The 16,324-nt window shown below is 40.3% G+C and overlaps 1 protein-coding gene across 11 annotated transcripts in view; it reads right to left on the bottom strand.

The window, feature by feature from the left end:
- Positions 1-16,324, bottom strand: part of KNTC1 (kinetochore associated 1) — a 99,148-nt gene that overhangs the window by 45,355 nt on the left and 37,469 nt on the right. For all 11 annotated transcript variants that reach the window (NM_014708.6, XM_006719706.3, XM_011539027.4 and 8 more), the window contains 13 exons: positions 12,670-12,781; positions 11,218-11,361; positions 10,110-10,166; positions 9,916-10,017; positions 7,986-8,105; positions 7,757-7,900; positions 6,662-6,760; positions 5,396-5,499; positions 5,143-5,242; positions 4,013-4,147; positions 3,251-3,370; positions 1,065-1,137; positions 372-439 (listed from right to left, as the gene is read on the bottom strand). In NM_014708.6, coding sequence (NP_055523.1) covers positions 372-439; positions 1,065-1,137; positions 3,251-3,370; positions 4,013-4,147; positions 5,143-5,242; positions 5,396-5,499; positions 6,662-6,760; positions 7,757-7,900; positions 7,986-8,105; positions 9,916-10,017; positions 10,110-10,166; positions 11,218-11,361; positions 12,670-12,781 — 1,378 coding nt within the window. The remainder of the gene's footprint in view (positions 1-371; positions 440-1,064; positions 1,138-3,250; positions 3,371-4,012; positions 4,148-5,142; positions 5,243-5,395; positions 5,500-6,661; positions 6,761-7,756; positions 7,901-7,985; positions 8,106-9,915; positions 10,018-10,109; positions 10,167-11,217; positions 11,362-12,669; positions 12,782-16,324) is intronic.

The raw sequence follows: 16,324 nt of genomic DNA, 5'->3' as shown, positions 1-16,324 counted from the left end.
TTTTTTTTTTTTTTGAGATGGAGTCTCGATCTGTCACCCAGGCTGGAGTCCAGTGGTGCTATCTCAGCTCACTGCAACCTCCGCCTCCCGGGTTCAAGCAATTCTCCTGCCTCGGCCTCCCGAGTAGCTGGGACTACAGGTGAGTGCCACCACGCCTGGCTAATTTTTTGTATTTTTAGTAGAGACGGGGTTTCACCGTGTTAGCCAGGATGATCTCGATCTCCTGACCTTGTGATCCACTCACCTTGGCCTCCCAAAGTGCTGGGATTACAGGGGTAAGCCACTGCGCCCAGCCATACAGAAAACTTTAAGGAGGGAAAAATGCACTGATTGGTCAAGTAATAATGTTTAACATGGCTCAATATGTTTACCTGTAAGCTAGCAACCTCTTTAAATAGTTTCAACATTTCTTCACATTCGTCCTTCTTCTGCAGATTGTCTGTAATTAAATTTTTAAAAGTTATAGCAGACATGCAAATTCTCATATTATCAGAATTTTAAAAAGAAGAAATTTTAATTAGCTTTGGTTCTCTCATCTCAAGTCTTCAGTAGTTCTTCTCAAATGATAATATACAGTAACTAAGTACAAAAGATCTAATTTGAAAAAAATCTAATTATTCTTTCAGGAGGTAGAAAACAGAAGTTTATGTGTTACAAAAAAGTTATTTTTCTGAAGTAAATTGTAGCTTCTTTTTTTTCCCTGGAAAGTTACTTTCTTCACTGTTTTATTTAACTTCCAGTCAAATGGCTTCTCCCCACCATCATAAGCAACTGATAAATGAGAAAAATGAGCAATGAGTGCGAGACGCTAAGGAAATCTAGTCTAGCACTAAATAGTAAGTGAGCATATAAACAAATGATAGGTTGATTTTGCATGCATCTGTTCTTGAATTGCTGATAAAGGAATAAAGGAAGACTTTTCATGAAGCAAAATGGGTAAGATCAATAAAGACAATCAGAACCAGAAAAACTGCGGGTACGGTGAGAGTTGTCTTCGATGCCTCTTTCTGAAGAGGGTGAGCTTTGGAACAAAACTGAGATGAGAAAACAGAAGTAAAAGCTACCTTTCTGAATGTCACATAGTATCTTAAGAATGTCCACGGATGTCTTCGCTACAGACATTCTCCAGGCCTTGCCCTAAAAATAAATAAATAAAGCGAAATAAAATCTACTTCCTTTTCTGACCACTTCAGTAGTACATATACAAATACACAAAAACCACAGAAGCAGAAAAAACAATCGTGGAGGAGTTGGGCAGCTGAGAAATGGATGGTTAATGAGCGTTATACAGGGTAGACCTGAAAAACTCCAGTATGAACTCCTGGATATATGATTTAGAAATATCAAAGAATATGCAACTCTCCCAAATAACCTTTCAACTACATTATGATTAATAGATCCTTATTCGCTTTTAGAGTTATTTACTATTTGAAAAAACATTTGGAAAAGTTAAAAAGAATAGAAGTCTAAAAAATGGCCTAGAGAACAGAAGTCTAATAAATAATCACTACCTTCCAGTGATTATTTAAAAAAATTTTAAGAGAAGGAAAAAAAGGAGATGCTTTAATTAAAAGACATGATGTATGTAAAATGTTTAGTAAGTGCCTCGCCAATAAAAAAATTCAAATATTTTCATAACGGGAGCAATTCAAACTGGTACTTAAGAATACAGACTACGGGCCGGGCGCGGTGGCTCACGCCTGTAATCCCAGCACTTTGGGAGGCCGAGGCAGGCGGATCACGAGGTCAGGAGATCGAGACCATCCCGGCTAAAACGGTGAAACCCCGTCTCTACTAAAAATACAAAAAATTAGCCGGGCGTAGTGGCGGGCGCCTGTAGTCCCAGCTACTTGGGAGGCTGAGGCAGGAGAATGGCGTGAACCCGGGAGGCGGAGCTTGCAGTGAGCCGAGATCCCGCCACTGCACTCCAGCCTGGGCGACAGAGCGAGACTCCGTCTCAAAAAAAAAAAAAAAAAAAAAAAAAAAAAAAAAAAAAAAAAAAAAAAAAAAAAAAAAGAATACAGACTATGGTATTAGACAGTTTGAGCTGAGGTTCTGCCCCTTTCTAACAACCTTGGAAAAAAGTCATTTACTTTCATATTTTGGTTTTTGAACTTAATACATAAGGAGACAACAATAGGAACTACTTTACACCTTTGTTATGAACAAGAAGTAGCTATTTAACCTAATGCCTATTGCATAGCAAATATTAGGTGTTAAAAACAACAATAACTTCATTTTCCAACAGCAAAAAACATTACTGAAATGGACTGAGAGAAGTTGGGAGGTATCTATCCTTAGGGGTTTAAAAATCCAACTATTGGCCAAGTGTGGTGGCTCACACCTGTAATCCTAGCACTTTGGAAGGCCGAGGCAGGCAGATCAGTTGGCGTCAGGAGTTTGAGACCAGCCTGGCCAACATGGTGAAACCCGTCTCTAGTAAAAATACATAAATTAGCCAGGTGTGGTGGCGGACGCCTGTAATCCCAGCTACTCCCAGCTGAGGCAGGAGAATCGCTTCAACCTGAGAGGCAGAGGTTGCAGTGAGTTAAGATCGCGCCACTGTGCTCCAGCCTGAGCAACAGAGCAAGACTCTTGTCTCAAAAAAGAAAAGAAAAGAAAAAAAAAACCCAACTATTGAGCATGGTGGTGCATGCCTGTAATCCCAGCTACTTGGGAGGCTAAGGCTAGAAGAGAACTTAAACTCAGGAGTTCAAGACCAGCCTGGGCAACATACCAAGACCTCATCTCCTATATATAATATTTAAAAAAAGAGAAAAAATTAAAAATCAGTAAGAATCCAGCTATTCTGGAAAAACCAAGTATTCCTCATCTGCAAAAAAGTAAACTCTCTTAAAACCATTTCTAAGTTTCAATGTTATAAGATTATATAGATTTATATTGGTTTTGTAGCTGACATTACTATTTGACAATAATTATGTCCTATATAACACAAAACATTGTTTATATTGCAACGCTTTATAGAAACCTTTCGTGTACAACAGCTGCTCCAAGACACCTGCTAACCCACAGCTCCCAGGTCATTCTCTGTGGGCTCAAGCAGCCGCTCCAAGGCAGCCACAATTGTTTTTTTTCTCCTAGTAGTAAATTTACCCAGGAATTTTTTCACTAGGCCACCCTAGCAGTGAGAAGAGCAGATCTTCATATGTGTAAGTCCATCTTTTCTATCCTATTGATTAATAGCCATAAAAATTGGATTTACTTATATTTTACTTAGTGAAAATGTCACCTCTTTAGAATGATCTGGCTCTTCTTGTAATGCCAGTCGTGCCCATATGATGACTCTTTCTGCAGTTTTCTCAGCTTCAGCAGGAGGCAAAGACTTCAACAGAAGGAGACAGTCTTCACCCTATAAACAGGGTTTGAAAGGAAGAAAAAACAGCTGGTATTTGCAAAGGACGGTGTGGCCTTACCTCTTTCTTTTCTATTTAAAGATGAAAATACATCATTTGGAAAAACAGATTATGGTTCAATGTTTTAATAATCCGAAAATCCATTTTTATTTTATTTTACTTTAAGTTTCAGGGTACATGTGCAGGAAGTGCAGGCTTGTTACATGTGCCATGGTGGTTTGCTGTACCCATCAACCTGTCATGCACATTTTAAGCCCTGCATGCATCAGCTATCCATCCTGATGCTGAAAATCCATTTTTGATGACAGCAAACAATAAAATAAATTTAAAATACGATCCTAGATACTGAAGAGTTAATTCCTAGGCATTGCTATGATTATAGAATCATATAAAAATAATGACATTTAAAAACACAACAGGCCAAGCATGGTAGCTCACACCAGTAATCTCAGCACTTTGGGAGGCTAAGGCAGGTGGATTACTTCAGGTTGAGAGTTTGAGACCAGCGTGACCAACATGGTGAAACACAGCCACTGCACTCCAGCCTGGGCAATGGAGCGAGACCCTGTCTCAAAAAACAACAACAACAACACAGAAACAAAGAAGCCATATGAAATGACAACATAAAACTTACAAACCTGTTCTCTATCAATCAGGTCAATAATTCTTAGACTGTAGATCTCATCATCAGATAACATAAACGCTTGGGCTACCTTTAAAGCATCTTCTAAAGAAGATGGGACATCTTGTTTGAGAATGTATCTAACCACTCTCTGCAAAAGACAATATGAACATTTCTTTGTTATAGAACTCACAGAAAACCAAGAAATCACTTGCTTATAAGAGCAAAGTGGCAAAAAAATTTAAATAATGCAGCAAAAAACTAAATTGTATGAAAGATTAAAACATGATTTATATTCTGATCATTCCACAGTCCTGTCTTCTTTCTTCTACAGCTTCTTAATTTACTATTTGGTGTCTTTTTTTTGAGACAGAGTCTCCCTCTGTCGCCAGGCTACAGTGCAGTGGCGCAATCTCGGCTCACTGCAACCTCTGCCTCCCAGGTTCAAGTGATTCTCCTCCCTCAGCCTCCCAAGTAGCTGGGACTACAGGCACATGCCACCACACCCTGCTAATTTTTTTGCATTTTTAGCAGAGACGGAGTTTTACCATGTTGGCCAGAATGGTCTTGATCTCTTGACCTCATGATCCACCCACCTTGGCCTCCCAAAGTGCTGGGATTACGGGTGTGAGCCACCGCACCTGGCCTATTTGGTGTCTTTAATACTCTCATAAAAAGCCCAGGAGCGGTAGCTCACGCCTGTAATCCCAACACTATGGGAGGCCGAGGCAGGCAGATCACCTGAGGTCGGGAGCTCAAGACCAACCAGCCTGACCAACATGGAGAAACCCCATCTCTACTAAAAATACAAAAAAAAAATTAGCCAAGCGTGGTAGTGCATGCCTGTAATCCCAGCTACTCAGGAGGCTGAGGCAGGAAAATCACTTGAACCCAGAAGGCGGAGGTTGTGGTGAGCCGAGATCGCGCCATTGCACTCCAGCCTGGGCGGCAAGAGCGAAACTCCATGTCAAAAAGAATAAATACTCTCATAAATAACTGAACACCTTATTAACATCATATCTAACAAAAGAAATGTAGTGGAAAAACCTAGCTCTATTAGCCTCCTAGAATATAAATTCCTCATTAAGCTTTCCATATTGCCCCAGAAATGAAAGAGAAAAAAGACTCTTCGAAGAGTGTACTTACCATTATTTCCTTGTTTAAGAGATTTACCTCTCTTATTCCATAGCCTCGTAAAAGTTTTTTCATCTCCATTAGTTTGTAACTTTCCTGTAATAACTTGACTCTGAAAGCAAATTTACCCATATTAACATGGATTGTCTTTTTTATGAAGTACTATGGGACACAGCAAACAATATAGAAACATAAATGAACGTCAACTCAAAACACAATGTTTCTCCAGAGCATAACAACATTGTTTCGTAGACAGTCATCTTACTTGGGATGGTCCATTTCCAGGTGCTGTTTCACCAGTTGCTCCACAGCTGCACTCCAAGGAACCACTGCCGCATACATGATCTTGAGCACGGCATCAAATATGAGCTACAAAAGATGCACGCATGGACAAGGAACAGCCCTCAGGTTTACGATGCATGCAAGTGAACAGCACAGTCTAATCAGCAGGTCTTACATCAACCACATGGTAGTTTGAGAATATTTCATCCACTCACTGGAAAACCATTTATTTCTTCAGTTTTCACATATAGAGAACAATTTGACTATTCAGAAAAATTCAGAAGAGTATTTTTTCTGCTGTAAGCTAAGACATACAGCGTTATTGCTTTCTACGGTCTCTACAATCCCTGGGTTTTTTTTGTTTTTTTGAGGCAGGGTCATGTTCCCATTGCCCAGGCTGGAGTGCAGTGGCGCGATCTCAGCTCACTGCAACCTCCACCTCCTGGGTTCAAGCGATTCTCCCACCTCAGGCTCCCAAGTAGCTTGGACTACAGGCAAGCACCACCACACCTGGCTAATTTTTGTATTTTCTGTAGAGATGCGGTTCCACCATGTTGCCCAGGCAGGTCTCAAATTCCTGAGCTCAGGTGATCTGTCTGCCTTGGCTTCCAAAAGTGCTGGGATTACAGGCATGAGCCACTGTGTCCAGCCTCAGTCTCTGGTTTAAAAACAGTTTTCATTATTTTATTTCTATTTTATAGTGGCAATAACAGTGTGAAGTTAAAATAAAGGCATATTACAATATATTAACAAATGTCTCACATTGCAGCGAATAACTGAAAAAGAAAAGTCTCCATGTTTGCATAACCACAGAAAAGCCTGCAAAGATATGCATACAACTGTCCATGGAGGTTCCCCTGGGGGTGGAAATGAGTAAACATTCACTTTTTATTTTCTGTAATTAAAGAAAACAGACACTTTAGGAGAATGAAGCAGGCAGATCACTTGAGCCCAGGTGTTCAAGACCAGCCTGGGAAACCCTGTCTCTACAAAAAATACAAAAATTAGCTGGGCGTAGTGGCACACGCCTATGGTCCTAACTACTCAGGAGGCTGAGGTGGGGATTGCTTGAGCCAGGGAGATTGAGGCTGCAGTGAACCATGATCATGTCACTGCATTCCAGCCTGGGCGACACAGCCAGACCCATCTCAAACAAAAACAAATATATGTCGCTTTTATGAACAGAAAAAAGCTTTCAGAAAAGATTTAATGCTCAAAAGGGAAACGCAAATGGTCACTATTTACTTACGTCCGTGTCAGATAAACACGCTATTACTGCCATGGCCTTTGCTTCCCATGCTGTTTCAAAGAGTGATGTGGACTTTGAGCTGCATCTATTCAGTAAATCCTAAAAAGGGATAAACATGTATGTTTTTTAAAAATTAAAAATTCTCATTAAAAAAATGCCACATACAGCTAGATACAGATATTATATGGCCTTGATAGATGTGTTAAAAGAAAAAAAACCTAAAAATTCTAATTAGTCATAAATGTTGAACAATGGTCTAAAAATACAAAACTGCCAAAACATTAGCCTTTAGTTTTATATGGTATAGAAAATTTAAGAATGAAACATTCTTGAAGAATCTACAAATAAGATTACTGTAGCACATTAATAACATCCACAAGAAATAACTGCTAATATTTATTGAGTTCATGCTCCTGTGGTCTCACAATAGCCCTTTGAAGAAAGTACTGTGAAAGGGAAATATCTTGGGCCCCCAAGATCACTAAGGAAAACTCAGGCTGGAAATTGCTTAGGGCAAACTTGCCTCCCATTCTATCAAAGTTACCCCTCTGCTCACTGAGACAGCTGCATTATCTGATTGCCTCCTTTGGAAAGGCTAATCAGAAACTCAAAAGAATTTTAATGTTTTGTATCACCTATCTGTGACCTGGAAGCTCCCTCTCGCTTGGAGTCTTCCTGCCTTTGCTTCAAGTTGTCCCACCTTTCCAGATCGAACCAATGTACTTCTTACATATGCTGACTGATGCCTCGTGTCTCTCCCTAAAATATATAAAACCAAGCTGTGCCCGGACCACCTTGGGTACATGTCGTCAGGACTTCCTGAGGCTGTGTCATGGGTGTATCCTCAACTTTGGCAAAATAAACTCCCTAAATTAACTGAGAACTGTCTCAGATTTTCCGGGTTCACAGTCCTCATGTATCCCCCCTTTGCTCAAGATGGTTAGTAGCAGAATTAACCCACATTTTTAACCAATTCAATATGCTGCATGAGTCCTACTGAGAAAGCATATGACATTCCTTAAAGAGTTAAATATTTACTACAGTGCTACACTGCATAGATCCAAGAAATAAGACTAGATGTAAAGGAAAAGTTACCTCTATGTACAGCAAGAGAAGTTCCTCCTCTTGCAAGTCATGTTCTCTCATGTAAACTCTTATAAACTTCTCTAAGATGGAGGGAATAAGCTCTGGGGCCAGCACTTTATCAAACATTCGGAACACTATGGTGGTTGTATTTTCCTGGATGCCAAAAGAAAGATGGAATAAATACAGACTCTACCCATAACTTGATATACAAAATAATTCTTATGACCCTGGACTTTACCTTCTCAAAATCAGAGAGGGCTAATTTGCAGTTGTACTTCCTATGCAACGTGATCAACTCTCGCAAGTTATTTACCAAAGTCCTTAGCTGACATACTTCCTCTGTGTTCTGATAATCTTTCTAAAACAAAAGTGTTAAAGTTGTTAACGATATAAAATAAAAGTATGAGAGAAAAATAGAATCAGAATTATTTCAGATAAAATAAGAATTAACCCTGGTTATGCACGTAAGAGGAAACCTGCAACTTTAAACCAACTTATGCTCTAAATTTTGTAGTATTTTAACCAAATTAGTATAGATCAGAATCTGAAAGATATTTTCTCTTAAAAAAATAGAAAAATTAAGAATATTAGTATAATACTTTTTCAGAACCCAAGTATACTTAGTACACAGCATCATTTAGGTAGTGCTCAGTGTCCCATCTATCTATAGAGATTATATATCATAACCAGATATAAAGGCATAACATTTCCTAAAATTATATAAAAAGAACAGAACCTTCAATATTGATAAAAGTTAACAGGGAAAAGATAAAAATAATGTTTTACAGCAAGAGGAAAAAGCTCTTATATAGAAAAGGTGACTTGACAGACACAACCTTTGAAAACTAATATTAATGTACTGTCAAGACTTAATTTTTCCTTTTTTCTTTTTTTTTGGGGGGGACAGAGTCATGCTCTGTCACCCAGGCAGGAGTGCAGTGGCACAATCTCGGCTCACTGCAACCTCTGCCTCCCCGTTTCAAGCGATTCTCCTGCCGCAGGCTCTCAAATAGCTAGGACTACAGGCACCCACCACCATGCCTGGCTAATTTTTTTTGTATTTTTACTAGGGATGGGGTTTCACCATGTTAATCAGGCTGATTTCAATCTCTTGACCTCAAATGATCTGCCCATCTCGGCCTCCCAAAGTGCTGGGATTACAGGCGTAAGCCATCGTGCCCAGCCAAGATTTAATTTTTCAAAGGATTGTGAAATGCTGCTAATGCAGAAAATCCCAATTATACCACTTAGCAGAATGTTTATATAGTTCCCCTTTTGGTTGGTTGAATAGAGAAAAACTGTTCATTAAAACAGGTGGAGGGGGGCCAGGAGCAGTGGCTCATGCCTGTAATCCAGCACTTTGGGAGGCCGAGCAGTGCAGATCATCTGAGGTCAGGAATTTGAGATCAGTCTGACCAACATGGTGAAATCCCGTCTCTACTAAAAGTATAAAAAAAATTAGCCAGGCGTGGTGGGGGGTGCCTGTAGTCCCAGCTACACGGGAGGCTGAGGCAGGAGAATTGCTTGAACCTGGGAGGGGGTGGTTGCAGTGAGCTGAGATCGCACCACTGCACTCCAGCCTGGGCAACAGGGTGAGACTCCATCTCAAAAAAAAATAATAATAATAGGTTGAGAGGGCTGGGCACAGTAGCTCACACCTATAATCCCAGCACTTTGGGAAGCCCAGGTGGGTAGATCACTTGGGTCTGGGAGTTCAAGACCAACCTGGGCAACATGGCAAAACCCCTTCTTTACAAAAAATACAAAAATCAGTCGGGCCTGGTGATGCGCACCTGTAGTCCCAGCTACTCAGGAGGCTGAGGTGGGAGGATCACTTGAGCCCAAAAGTTGAGGGTGCAGTGAGCCATGGTTGCACCACTGCATTCCAGCTGGGGCAACAGAGTGAGACCTTGTCTCAAAAATGAATAATAAATAAATAAATATATAAATAAATTAAAAACATAGGTTGAAGTTTTAACACAAATCAGAAAGAAAGAAAAAGCAAATTTTCCTACATATGGATTTGAAAGGCACAAAACAAAAAAAAGGCACAAAAAAACAGAAAATTTAAGAAGTAGATATATTTCCAGATACTTCACATACATGCAGACAAACCCTTTCAGGTAAACTGACTGTTTCATTACTAAAAATCCATTCTCACATCATACCAAGGAAATCCAATGCCAGGAAGATGCCAATCCCAACTCGTCTGTTTTTTCTGCTGTAAAAAATATCTCTGCCAATTGAAGTCCATTTTCTGGCCAATTTGCCTTTAAAAAAGATTACAGACAGTTCAAAACAATGTTTTATGCTGTTGGGAGTGTGCAAAATGTCTTTTTACTGTTAATTAAATCAGTATTACCTTATCAGTTAATTCAAGGTTCCTGGCTGCTTGTTCCAACCATTTTGCAAGAATTATCTGAAATAGATTATTTAAAAATGAAATTCTTAATGGATAATCACTGACATAACTAAAAACCTCCACGATTTCTTTTTTTTCCTTTAAATATTTATTTTGTCCATAAACCTCTTATCCACGATTGTCTTTTTTGCTTGTGTGTGGGCACGTAGTAGGTGTACATACTTGTGGAGTACATGAGATGCATTGATACAGGCAAGCAATGTGAAATAATCACAACATGGAGAGTGGGGTATCCATCCCCTTTGTGTTACAAACAATCCAATTACACTCTTTTAGTTATTTTTAAATATAGAATTAAGTTATTATTGACTCTCTTGTATAATCAAATAGTATGTCTTATTCTTTCTTTTTTTTTTTTTTGAGACAGGGTTTCGCTCATCACCCATGCTGGATCTCATGCAATGGCACGATCTCGGTTCACTGCAACCTCCTGGGTCAAGCAATTCTACTGCCTCAGACTCCCGAGTGGCTGTGATTACAGGCATGCCACCATGCCCGGCTAATTTTTGTATTTTTAGTAGACACAGGGTTTCACCATGTTGGTCAGGCTGGTCTCAAACTTCTGACCTCAGGTGATTCACCCACCTCAGCCTCCCAAAGTGATGGGATTACAGGCGTGAGTCACTGCACCCAGGCTCATTCTTTCTAAATATATTTTTTTGTATGCATTAACCATCCCCACCTCTCACCCATCACCCATCACCCCACAACCCTTCCAAGCCTCTGGTAACCATCCTCCTACTCTCTATGGCCGTGAGTTAAATTGTTTTGATTTTTAGATCCCACAAATAAGTGAGAACATGTGATGTTAGTCTTTCCATGCCTGGCTTATTTCACTTAACATAATAATCTCCAGTTCCATCTATATTGTTGCAAATGATAACATCTCCTTCTGAATCACAGTTGTCTTTTAAGAGACACTTTAATTAACACAGGTGTTAGCTTAACTAACTGGTGTTAACTGGTGTTAACGTGACTTAATTCTCAATGATCTAATGTAAAAAATGAAATAAAGTCATCAAGAGTGGAAATACTGAAGACAACTCACCTGTCCTTCAGGCACAGTCCTTCTTACAAATGGAATCACATCATTTTTAAACCATGGACACAGCTTTTGCAAAGAGACTGATGCAGACATTGAGTTGAGCAAGCTCTCCAGCATTTTCACATCAAATCTGCTTTCAAAGTTTGCCTAAATTATAAGGAGCGAGAAATTAAGATCTGACAAATTTAAACCAAAGGCTTCCAAATGTTTGACAAAGATATTTTAGGAAGTCATTTTAAGGAGTAGCCTACTGATTTAATAATGAGTGCTAAAGGAGATTCACACTATGCAAATGATTCTAGTTGGGAGCTGCATACTGTATGCAATGTCACGGCGCTGAGTGCCAAATAGTTTATCATGTAGCAGAAGAACCAGCAGAGAGAGTATTCTAAGGAAAACTTAACTGGGGGTGATACTAGGAATTCAAACAAGCAATGCAGCCATTAAGGGCATCACGGCAAGTTATGACTTTATGGATCTAATGTTCTATACCAACTTTGGCCAACCTTAAAGGGATCGAGACAAGCAATTTTAAGGGGCAATCTTTTACCACAATTTGAGCTGCAGTAGCAACATCTTCTTCACCAATGCTACATTACAAAGCCCACTAATAAACCAGATAACATGTTGCCTTTAGAGCTAAGATTAGGAGTTAGACTCTTTTTTTGGTTAACTTTTAAGTTCAGTGGTATAAGTGTAGGTAAACTTTTGTCAAGGGGGTTTGTTGTACAGATTATTTCATCACCCAGCTATTAAGCCTATTAATCATTAGTTATTTTTCCTGATACTTTCACCCTCCACCTTCTGAAAGGCCCCGGTGTGTGTTTCCCTCCATGCATCCACGTGTTCTCATCATTTAGCTCCCAAGAAGCTAGATTCTTAATGATTGGATAAAATAAGGTTCTACTGTACATTCACTGTACTTCTTCTGATTTAATATTATCAGAAGACAATTTTCTCCGGGAAAAGTAATTTTTTTTTTTCTTTTTTTTGGGACGGAGTCTCACTCTGTCACCCAGGCTGGAGTGCAGTGGCGTGATCTCGGCTCACTGCAACCTCCACCTTCTGGGTTAAAGAAATTCCCCTGCCTCAGCCTCCTGAGTAGCTGGGTCTACAGGAACGTGCCACCATGCCCGGCTACTTTTTTATTTTTGGTAGAGACACGGATTCACCATGTTGACCAGGCTGGTCTCGAACTCCCAACCTCCAGTGATCAGCCCGCCTCGGCCTCCCAAAGTGCTGGGATTATAGGCGTGAGCCATCGCGCCCAGCCCATGGGGAAAGTCTTTTTTATCCCCTTGCCCTTTACAAACAAAAGCAAGTCATATTTTAAGAACCAATCAAAAAACATCCCATCACCCAGTCAGACTTGCACCTTGTTAGTCTCCAACATTGATTCAATCACCTAACTCAGGAGCTATAAAGCTGTTAAGGAAAAAATGTAAAACATGTTACCCGATGTCGAAGCCAAAGATACTGTGCACAAACAAGGTTTCCTTCTTTTAGCTGTAAAAAAATATCTTTAAGATCATCTTCATTATTTAGAAATTCAATCCAAGAACTGCCACTGAATAGACAAAGAAGGGAAAAAAGTCAGTTTTAAAAAAAATTAAGGTTATACCTTTTAAGTGGATTATCTTTAAATGCATTTTAATTAGTTTTCTTCTTCATAAAGGTAAAAACAAAAAACTAAAAAAAACCCAGTTCCAAAGATCACACAATGCAAAGTACATTTCCTTCTTATCTCAGACCCTAGAACTCCCGACATCTTCCTCAGAGCCATGTAGCTTCCTATAGGACCCTCCTCAGATAATCACTACACGTAGAAATAACTATTTTTCACTCTTGTTTGTTTTATTTGTTTTTTTGAGATGGGATCTCACTATGTGCTCAGGCTGGACTTGAATTCCTGGGCTCAAGCAATCCTGCCACCTCAGCATCCTGAATAGATGGGATTACAGGCATGTTTATATTATTTTACTTTATTTTTTTGAGCTGGAGTCTCACTGTCACCCAGGCTGCAGTGAAGTGGCACAATCTCGGCTCACTGCAACCTTTGTCTCCTGAGTTCAAGAGATTCTCATGCCTCAGCCTCCCAAGCAGCTGGGATTACAGGCATGCACCACCATGCCTGGCTAATTTTTGTATTTTTAGTAGAGATGGGGTTTCACCATGTTGGCTAGATGGTCTCAAACCCCTGACCTCAACTGATCCACCCACTTCAGCCTCCCAAAGTGTTGCGATTACAGGCATGAGCCACCGTGCCCAGCCTATTTTTTAAATAAGTAAGTGTTCTATAATGAATTTGACGAGGAAAAAAGAAAATCAGAATTGATAAGATAAAATTTCATTATTTGAATATAAAATTATATACCTGGAAAAAACAAGATCAAATGAAATATTACTATGCATAATAAAGAAATTCATTAAGGTAGCTGGTTAAACATTTTTAAAAATCAGCTGATCGTGGTGGCTCACGCCTGTAATCCCAGCACTTTGGGAGGCCGAGGTGGGTGGACCACTTGAGGTCAGAAATTCAAGACCAACCCAGTCAACATGGTGAAACCCTGTCTCTATTAAAAATACAAAAAATAGCCGGTGTGGTGGCAGGTGCCTGTAATCCCAGCTACTCGGGAGGCTGAGGCAGAATTGATTGAACCCAGGAGGCAGAGGTTGCAGTGAGCCGAGATCATGTCATTGCACTCCAGCCTGGGCAACAGAACAAAACTGTCTCAAATAAAAAAAAAAGTTTTTTTTAATCACTAGCTCGCCACATCCTTTAGAAAAGATGGCAGCCAGCCACAGTGGCTCATGTCTATATTCCCAGCACTTTCGGTGGCCAAGCAGGAGGATCACTTGAGCCCAGGAGTTCGAAACCAGCCTGAGAAACATGGTGAAACCCAGGCTCTACAAAAAATTAGCTGAGTGTGGTGGTGCTCACCTGTAATCCCAGCTACTTGGGTGGCAGAGCTTGGGAGGCTGAAGCTGCAGTGAGCTGAGATCATGCCACTGCACTCCAGCCTGGGTGACAGAGTGAGACCCCACCTCAAAAAAAAAAAAAAAAAAAAACCAGCCTGGACAACATGGCAAAATCCGTCTCAACTAAAAATATAAAAGTTGGCTGGGTGCAGTGGCTCACTCCTGTAACCCAGCACTTTGGGAGGCCAAGGCGGGCAGATCACTTGAGGTCAGGAGTTTGAAACCAGTCTGCTCCAAATGACGAAACCCCATCTCTACTAAAACTACAAAAATTAGCCAGACGTAGTGTTGCATGCCTGTAATCCCAGCTAGTCGGGAGGCTGAGGCAGGAGAATCACTTGAATATAGGAGGCGGAAGTTGCAGTGAGCTGAGATCATGCCACTGCACTCCAGCCTGGGCAACAAAGTGAGAGTCCGTATTAAAAGAAAAAAAAAAAATTATCCAGGTGCAGTGGCACGTGCCTGTAATCCCAGCTACTGGGCAGGAGAATCACTTGAACCTGGGAGGCAGAGGCTGCAGTGAGCCAGAGTCAAGATCGAGCCACCGCACTCGAGCCTGGGCGACAAGAGCAAGACTCTGTCTCATTGAAAAAAAAAAAAAAGATTTAGGCCGGGCGCAGTGGCTCACGCTTGTAATCCCAGCACTTTGGGAGGCTGACGCGGGCAGATTACGAGGTCAGGAGTTCGAGGCCAGCCTGGCCAACACAGTGAAACCCCATCTCTACTAAAAGTACAAAAATTAGCTGGGTGTGGTGGCAGACGCCTGTAATCCCAGCTCCTCAGGAGGTTGAGGCAGGAGAATCACTTGAATCTGGGAGGCGGAGGTGGCAGTGAGCCGAGATCATGCCACTGCACTCCACACTCCTAGACTCTGTCTCAAAAAAAAAAAAAAAAAAGATTGAAACGTAGAAAGAAACTCTAAAAATGAAAAAATACAAGAGAAAGTATTTATTTATTTATTTTTTGAGGCGAGTTTCACTGTGTCACCCAGGCTGGAGTGCAGTGGCACAATCACAGCTTACTGCAGCCTCGACCTCCCAGGCTCAGGTGATCCTCCCACCTCAGCTTCCTTAGTAGCCAGGACTACAAGCACCTGGCCAAGTTGCCTGGCAAATTTTAGTATTTTATGTAGAGACAGGGTTTCACTATGTTGCCCAAGCTGGTCTTGAACTCCTGGGAAGCGATCCGCCTACCTCAGCCTCCCAAAGTGCTTGGATTACAGGTATAAACCACTGTGCCCGGCCAAGAATTTATTTTTAATCTTGCGGTGGGTAATATTTTTCCAAACAGACATAAAAATACAAACTTCTGAATTTTTTGTAAAAAAAAAAAATAATAATAACAAAATCAATTAAAAAAATGCCAAATTAGAGGAAAATTTGAAATACCCACAAAGAACTTTAAAGTCAATTTTGAAAAGAACAACTCGGTCCAGGCGTGGTGGCTCATGCCAGTAATCCCAGCACTTTGGGAGGCCGAGGCAGGAGGATCACTTGAGCCCAGGAATTTGAGACTAGCCTGGGCAACATGGGAGACCCTGTCTCTAAAAACACAACAATAATAAAACCACAGAAATAGCTCTGTTTTTTTTTTTTTAAAAAAAAAAAACAACTCAAGAGAAAGAGGGACCAAGGATGTAAGGAGAAAAACAAAAGGCTTTTCACCTTGAGAAAGTAAATATTTCAACCAAAATTAAGAATGGAAATCAAATCCATGTGGTAATATTTAAAAAAAATTTTTTTGCATACATCAGATTAGCAAAAAAACAAGTTCTATAACATACTGTTGGTGAATGAGTGAGAAAATGGGCCCTCCCCTACTCATTCTATTGGAAAAGGTGCTTTGGAAGCCAAGTTTGGATGAATAACCTTTTGCCTTAGCAACTGCACCTCCAGAAATTGAATCCACAGATATACTTCCATGTGGCACCAAAATATCATTACTTAAAATTAGAGGTATACTTACTTTAAATCTATTTATCAGAATAAATTAACAATGAAGGGAAATGAGCAATTAGAAGATATGGTAAGAATCTGACTATGATCAAAGGTAAAAATATTTGTGTTAAAGAAATGAGCACTGGGCGTGGTACCTCACGCCTGTAATCCCAGCACTTTGGGAGGCCGAGGCA

The sequence above is a fragment of the Homo sapiens genome, chromosome 12, assembly GCF_000001405.40.
Source record: "Homo sapiens chromosome 12, GRCh38.p14 Primary Assembly".
NCBI lineage: Eukaryota > Metazoa > Chordata > Mammalia > Primates > Hominidae > Homo > Homo sapiens.
Note: the sequence above shows the minus strand (reverse complement) of the source record. Positions and strands in the feature narration are given on the sequence as shown.